Raw genomic sequence first — 6382 nt, 5'->3', positions numbered from 1 at the left:
GGGGGGCGGAGAGGGCCACGGCAGCGCAGCCTCGATGCCACCCCCACCCCCCCAACCTGGCCCCCAGCCCTCCCGCCGGCCCAGCCCGCCGGGCCGCAAGCCCGGACCACCCGCGAGAAGCGCAAACTTTTTTTTTCCCTTTTGCAAAAACTTTTTCTCTCTCCAGCCGCTGGCGCGCCGCCGCTCTTCCCGCTCGCCCCTCACCTCCCTTCTATTTCCCTCCCTCTTGCCGTTCTGGAGGATGAGGCGGGGTAGCTGGAAGCAAGAGAAGGGGTGCCGGGCTTATTGCACCCCCAGGACCCCCAGGATCCTCCCCCTCCCTTGAGGGACCCTATACTGCTTACGCCCCCCCCCCCGCCCCGGCTGAACACGCTGCTGTTGGTGAGTACTAAATCCCGGCTTGGATTTCTGGATCGGCTGGCCCCAAAGAGGCCCCGACAACCAGATTGAGGAAAATATTGCGGGGCAGGGGGAGAAGTTCAACCGAGAACGATAATAGTGGAGGTAGGGTAGTCGCCTTTGGTTGGTGCTAACTGAGCATTCTGCCATCCTGTGGTTTATCTGCAGGCCTCACCCTTTGGATGGAACTTGCAGCGGCCGGGACAGAGTTGCGGTTTGGGGCAAATCAAGTTGGGTTGGGGGCTCTGGAAGAAGGTGAGGAGTCTATGGAGCATAAAAGCAAGGAGCAGCGGCTGAGGCTCTGGGTGCAGGGTGTGGTTCACGAGGTCACCAAGGAGCCCTGGGACTGAAGCCCCTTTCCCTAGAACCCCGGCTCTACGTCTCGAAGTTCTGGAGGGTGCCGCCCCTCCGCACCACGTCACTGCAGGCTCTAGCTGCTCTTCCAGGCTTTCTGCTCCCTCTGCTGGCCGTTCTCACACATGACACCCGCTCGGAGTCGAAGCAGAAGAGCTGGGGAACTGAAGGAGGAGCCCAGTTGAAGGAGGAGCCCCTCACTAAAGCCCACTTAAAAGCCCAGGAGGTGGATATGTGAGCTCTGAGAAACGGAGAGGCAGAGGTTGCTATGCCCAGCGGTACTGCCTGACAGGGAAGTGCCCTGCCTCTTTAGATTTGCATTGCCATCGTGACCGGATATAAGGGAGGGGCAGCATTTCAGTCTCTGATTTTTATGAGAAAGAGGAGGAAGCATGACAAGGAAAAAGGGCACCCTCTCCCCTTTTTTTCAACCCCACAGGCAGACCTCCCACATCCTAGCTCTGCTTCCAAGAACCACCCCCTTGGGTGTGGAAGGTCAGTGGGTTAACTGTTCAGTCTGAGGGTCAAGGGGGAAAAGAAAAGGTGAAGGTAGGGGGAGATCTGGGACTTTGACCCAGGCTAGTTATCCCCAGAGGGTCAGAGACCCAGCTCAGTCAGACCAGACTAATGGGCACTGAAAAAAAGGCACCCCACACATGCTCCTGTCCCAGCCTCGAGCCCCTTCTTCCAGAGGAGCTATTTATGTATTTATGTATTTATTTATTTTTATTTGGGACGGGGCCTCACTATTTGCCCAGGCTGGAGTGCAGAGGCTATTCACAAGTGTGATCATAGCCTCGAACTCCTGGGTTTAAGCGGTCTTCCGGCCTTAGCCTCCTAAGTAGCTGGGACCACCGGTGCCCAGCAAGAAGAGCTCTCTTAGAACACCTTACTTTCTTCTCCCCACCCAGTTCTATAGACCAGTGAGTCTCAAACTTTTTGGTTTCCTCTATACTCTTAAAAGTCATTAGGTTAGGCACAGTGGCTCAGACCTGTAATCCCAGCACTTTGGGAGGCCAAGGCAGGCGGATCACCTCAAGTCAGGAGTCCGAGACCAGCCTGGCCAACATGGTGAAACCCCATCTCTACTAAAAATACAAAAAATAGCTGGGCATGGTGGCGCAGGCCTGTAGTCCCAGCTACTCAGGAGGCTGAGGCAGGAGAATCGCTTGAACCTGGGAGGTGGAGGTTGCAGTGAGCCGAGATTGTGCCACTGCACTCCAGCCTGGGCGACAGAGCGAGACTCCGTCTCAAAAAAAAAAAAATCATTGAGCTTTTGTTCATATGATTTACATCTATCAATTCACCACATTAGAAATTAAAACTGAAAAAGACTGTAACACAAGACCATACAAGCACACATTCCATTAACAATGATGTCAGAAAGATGATGTAATCACATGTCACACGGCCTCTGGAAAACTCCACAATACAATTTTAAGATAATGAGAATTCAAAAGGCAAATAACATGTTAGTATTATTATGAAAATAGCTTTGACTTTGTGGACACCCCTGAAAAGGGACCTCCCAGAAGCCTACAGAGTACACTTGAAGAACTGTTGCTCTGGACCATCACCCTAACCCTTCTTTATGACTCACATTTGTTGATTTTCTTTCTCCTTTTTATTAAGAAAGTATAAGCCAGGCGCGGTGGCTCACGCCTATAATCTCATCACTTCGGGAGGCCAAGTCGGGTGGATCAAGAGGTCAAGAGATTGAGACCATCCTGGCCAACATGTTGAAACCTCGTTTCTACTAAGAATACAAAAATTAGTGGGCGCCTGTAATCCCAGCTGCTCGGGAGGCTGAGGCAGAAGAATCACTTGAACCCAGGAGACGGAGGTTGCAGTGAGCCAAGATCGTGTCACTGCACTCCAGCCTGGTGACAGAGCGAGACTCGATCTCAAAAAAATAAAAAAGAAGAAAGAAAGTATAAATGCTTGTCTCCCAGTGGGTCCTGTCCCCTGGGAAAAACCAGGGAACTTCTTAGGCTTAGTGCCTCATTTTCCTGACTCCTGTTTCTGGGGGTCCCCTAAGCATCCTCCCTCAGCGCCTTGCCCATCTCCCTCTTGACCTTCCCTTAAGGTACCTCAACAGCCCTTACCCTGGGCCAGCCTGCTTACCCTGCTTCAAGCCTGCTGGACCATCTATCTGCTTCCTCCTCCCCTCACTTGAGGACTTTCTCATCTTGGGAGAGGCTAAGTAATTTTTCTCTGCCTTCCCTCCCTCCCTCCCTAGTCCCTGACATCTTCTCACAGGACTTAGGGCAGGAAATCATGCTTTCTGGGTAGACCCCTTTAGAAGAAACGCTTTACCCATCTCCCAACACATCAGCCAACCTGGAATAAGCCAGAGTCTCAGACAAGAAAGTGCCCATTTGGGTCCCATAGGGGTCAAGTGAGTCATATTGCCAGGTGGTTGTTGGGTTGGGGTGTGGATCAGGAATCTGATGCCTCCAGTCACAGATGCCCTGTGCCTGGGAAACTTCATCTTGGTCTCTTCACTCCAAAGCCCCAGGTCCTCTTGCTAGCTGCAGCCACAGGCCTCCACCACCATATCTGGCACATCCGTCTTGACCACATTGCCATTATGATCCAGGTAGAGGAGAGAGAGGGGCCTTCGGGCAGTAGGGACACAACAGGAGGTACTGGCAGGCCAAGGATTGTTGGCTTTGAGGAGGCTGAAGACGGCAGAATGGAAAGAGGCAGCAATGCCTGGGCTGCCAGCCAGGTGGGGAGGGCACTGCCCACTGCAGTAATTCAGCTGGTACCCCTCGGGCTGCAGTATCCAGTCCCGCCATCCCAGTTCCTGGAAGTCTACGTAATGGTCTCGCCTGCAACATAAGGGGGTCGCAGGCTCACAGGTGGGGGTCCTCCTCCTGGCCCGGCCTGCTCCAGGCTCATTGGCTCGGATCTTAAGCTCTAGGAAGGGCTGCTGGTGTCCTGCTGTGTCCAAGAGCCGCCTCGGTTGTCCAGTAACTGTGCTGTTGCCTTCTAGGGGTCTGCAGTCTAGTTGCAGTTTCAGGACACCAGACTTCTCACCCCTCAAGCCACTAGAGGGCAGAGTTAAGGTATGCCAGCCCAGGTTGGTGATGTGGTGCTCAGCCAGGAGAGTGCGGGACCCTTGGCGCCTCCTCCTTGGTCCCCATCGGAAGATCCTCAAGCAAAGAGTGCCAGGAAGGGTGGGGAGCACGTGCAGCCACAGGCGGGCATGGTACAGGTGGTGGGACCGAGGAGTGGACAGGTGAAAAGTGAGCAGGGAGCTGTAGGCTGAAGTGGAGTCTGCCCGAAAGACAGAAAAGGGAAAGAAAATGTGAGTAGAGATGAAGCTCTCCTCTGAGACTCCCCAAGCCCTGCCCACTGCTCTCCCTCGAACCTACCTCTAGAAAAGTAGAGACTGCTTTGTGTCCTCTGCAACCAGTCCCTGCCCCAGCTCCTCCTTCTCCTGCCACACCCCACTCCCTCTGCTGCTCCTGCCAGGCTCCCCTTCTGCCTCCCTTTCCCTGTCTGCTCTTTGCCTGTTGCTCTCTCCCTCACCCACCTGTGACAGTAGCAAAGCTGATGACCTCCTCCCCATTCCCTGGAGCCACACTCCCTGGCTGTAGTCTCCGGAGGGCTCTGGTCAGCGCTGCCTGGGGTGGAGGATGAGTTATTCTGGGACGACTGGTCAGGTGCAACCCATCCAGGATTTGCTGCTTGGCTAGCTCCAGCACCAGAGCTCGTTCTGCTTGGGGTGCCAGTTTGGAGCCCCCACAGGAGGGACACACAGACCCTGTCCCCTGTGCTCGCACCAGTGCCCACAGCAGCACCAGCCAGAGCTGGACATCAGGGAGCCGCATGCTCCTGGTGAATGGCCCTGGTTCAGGAGCCTCGGATGGCAGTTGCTCCGTCTGTTGAGTCTGATTGCTGGGGGCCAATGAGGGCACAGTGACAGCAGACACCACTGCCACACCTACCCTTGGCCAAGGGTACAGCCACCTGTCTTCTATTGTCTGGGACTCAGGAAGGCTGAAAGTAGATCATCTGATGGATAGCTGTGCTTGACCCTCACAGCTCATGTCTGGCTACTGACCTGGGGCCTCTTTAGAGCCAGCTGCCTGGGTCTTCCAAACCTAGTGGTCAGCCAGCCGACCTACCCTCTGAGTCCCAGGATTGGCCAGCTGTGCTGCCCATCAGGCCCCTGCAGGGGGTGGAGGTCCTCCTCCCCATCAGCTCAGGTTTCACCATCTGGCCATGGTGACTGGGCCTGAAGTAGGGGTATGGGGGTGGGGGGGTGCAATGTGGACACGCATGATGCAAGAAAGAGGATGATTTCACATGCTCAGTCCCCAAGGTCTGGGACTTGGGGGAGGGAACGCCTTATGAGCCAGGTGGGGAAGGGCAATTTTCCCTCATACCTCTAGTCTTTCTAGCTTCACCACTGCTGCAGCAGTTTCCATGAGGCAGCTGTGAGTTCCAGTGGGTATTCCTCTGGGGCCCTTAGGCCAGAAGGAAAATTCTGGTCTCTTTATTTCTAGCACTGGGGCTAGGACAGGGATGAGGGTTTGGGCGGGTAGGAGAATGGAGCCCTCTTGCTCAGGCCCAGGTGGCAGTGCCACGAGGCACAGAAGTCACCCCCTGACCCTGCCTGTGCTGGCCGCCCAGAGTCCAGTTGGCCTGGAGCATGATGTGGAGCATGATGTGGAGGAGGGCCAGAGCCGGCGGGGGTTGGGGCGGGGAACGTGTTCCTGTGATGTCTGGGGAAGCCCAGAGAGGTGGTGGTGGTGGTGATGCAATCTTACACAGGGCAGAGTCCATCAGGACTGTCAGGGGGCATGACACTTGGGAGGGCCTATACCCAGCTGCCACTTCTCTTTCAAGGGACTGTGAGAGTTGCCTAAATTTGGGGCATCCTAGAAGTAGTGCCAGGCCTCCTTTTTTTCTTACATTTTTAAAATTTAAATTTTATTTTATTTTACTGAGGTAAGGTCTCAATCTGTTGTTCAGGCTGGAGTGTAGTGGCACAATCATAGCTCACTGCAGCCTTGAATTCCTGGGCTCAGACAATCCTTCTGCCTCAGCCTCCTTAGTAGTTGGGACTACAGGTGCGCACCACCACACCTGGCTAATTTTTAAATTTCCCACAGAGACAGGGTCTCGCTATGTTGCCCAGGCTGGTCTTGAACTCCTGGGCTCAAGCAATCCACTTGCCTCAGCCTCCTAAAGTGCTGAGGTTACAGGCGTGAGCCACCGCACCACCCTTCAGGCCTGTTAATGGGGGTAGAAAATGGGAGCTCTAAGAGCTTTTGACAACAAAGCAAGGCAAATACAGCAGTCTTGGTTCCCAGTCTCAGCCCTCCTGACCACATTTTCTCACTGTCTTTATTTTATTTTATTTTATTTTATTTTTTGAGGCTGAGTCTCGCTCTGTCGCCCAGGCTGGAGTGCAGTGGCACAATCTCGGCTCACTGCAAGCTCCACCTCCCGGGTTCACACCATTCTTCTGCCTCAGCCTCCCGAGTCGCTGGGACTACAGGTGCCAGCCACCACGCCCGGCTAGTTTTTTGCATTTTTAGTAGAGACGGGGTTTCACTGTGTTAGCCAGGATGGTCTCCATCTCCCGACCTCATGATCTGCCCGCCTCGGCCTC

The 6382-nt window shown here is 54.6% G+C and overlaps 2 protein-coding genes and 1 long non-coding RNA gene across 6 annotated transcripts in view, besides 3 other annotated features; 1 reads left to right on the top strand and 2 right to left on the bottom strand.

Moving 5' to 3' along the window:
• GLI1 (GLI family zinc finger 1) overlaps window positions 1-344 on the bottom strand; it is a 12484-nt gene extending 12140 nt beyond the window's left edge. For all 4 annotated transcript variants that reach the window (NM_005269.3, XM_011538190.3, NM_001167609.2 and 1 more), the window contains exon 1: window positions 1-344. This exon is cut by the window's left edge and continues 73 nt beyond it. The gene's annotated coding sequence lies outside the window, so the exon portion shown is untranslated.
• The window catches only part of LOC124902947 (uncharacterized), a 5531-nt gene extending 2844 nt beyond the window's left edge, over window positions 1-2687 (top strand). Inside the window, exon 2 of the long non-coding RNA XR_007063335.1 lies at window positions 568-2687. This is a non-coding gene — a long non-coding RNA (uncharacterized LOC124902947). The remainder of the gene's footprint in view (window positions 1-567) is intronic.
• Window positions 616-665: an enhancer, noted in NCBI's record as "active region_6537". NCBI's record gives its function as "activates an Ori minimal core promoter by ATAC-STARR-seq in GM12878 lymphoblastoid cells {active_cell/tissue: GM12878}" and the evidence as "EXISTENCE:reporter gene assay evidence [ECO:0000049][PMID:35858748]".
• Window positions 676-755: an enhancer, noted in NCBI's record as "active region_6536". NCBI's record gives its function as "activates an Ori minimal core promoter by ATAC-STARR-seq in GM12878 lymphoblastoid cells {active_cell/tissue: GM12878}" and the evidence as "EXISTENCE:reporter gene assay evidence [ECO:0000049][PMID:35858748]".
• Window positions 2104-4822, bottom strand: INHBE (inhibin subunit beta E). The gene is made up of 2 exons (NM_031479.5): window positions 4295-4822; window positions 2104-4035 (listed from the first exon to the last, which is right to left on the bottom strand). Exons 1-2 carry the CDS (start codon window positions 4590-4592, stop codon window positions 3281-3283), a joined length of 1053 nt encoding a protein of 350 aa, NP_113667.1. The 5' UTR covers window positions 4593-4822; the 3' UTR covers window positions 2104-3280.
• Window positions 4849-5143: an enhancer, noted in NCBI's record as "tiled region #358; HepG2 Activating DNase unmatched - State 1:Tss, and K562 Activating DNase unmatched - State 5:Enh". NCBI's record gives its function as "activates a minimal TATA promoter and a strong SV40 promoter by Sharpr-MPRA in HepG2 and K562 cells {active_cell/tissue: HepG2 | K562}" and the evidence as "EXISTENCE:reporter gene assay evidence [ECO:0000049][PMID:27701403]".

The sequence above is a fragment of the Homo sapiens genome, chromosome 12 (assembly GCF_000001405.40).
Source record: "Homo sapiens chromosome 12, GRCh38.p14 Primary Assembly".
NCBI classification, from domain to species: domain Eukaryota; kingdom Metazoa; phylum Chordata; class Mammalia; order Primates; family Hominidae; genus Homo; species Homo sapiens.
This window is presented reverse-complemented; position numbering and strand designations above follow the sequence as displayed.

Bases quoted from the DNA above. Each gene is read 5' to 3' on its own strand.
- INHBE (NM_031479.5), bottom strand. From the start codon at position 4,592: ATGCGGCTCCCTGATGTCCAGCTCTGGCTGGTGCTGCTGTGGGCACTG. The intron at 4,036-4,294 runs GTGGGTGAGGGA...TCTTTCGGGCAG, and splicing joins CAGCTTTGCTACTGTCACAG to ACTCCACTTCAGCCTACAGC.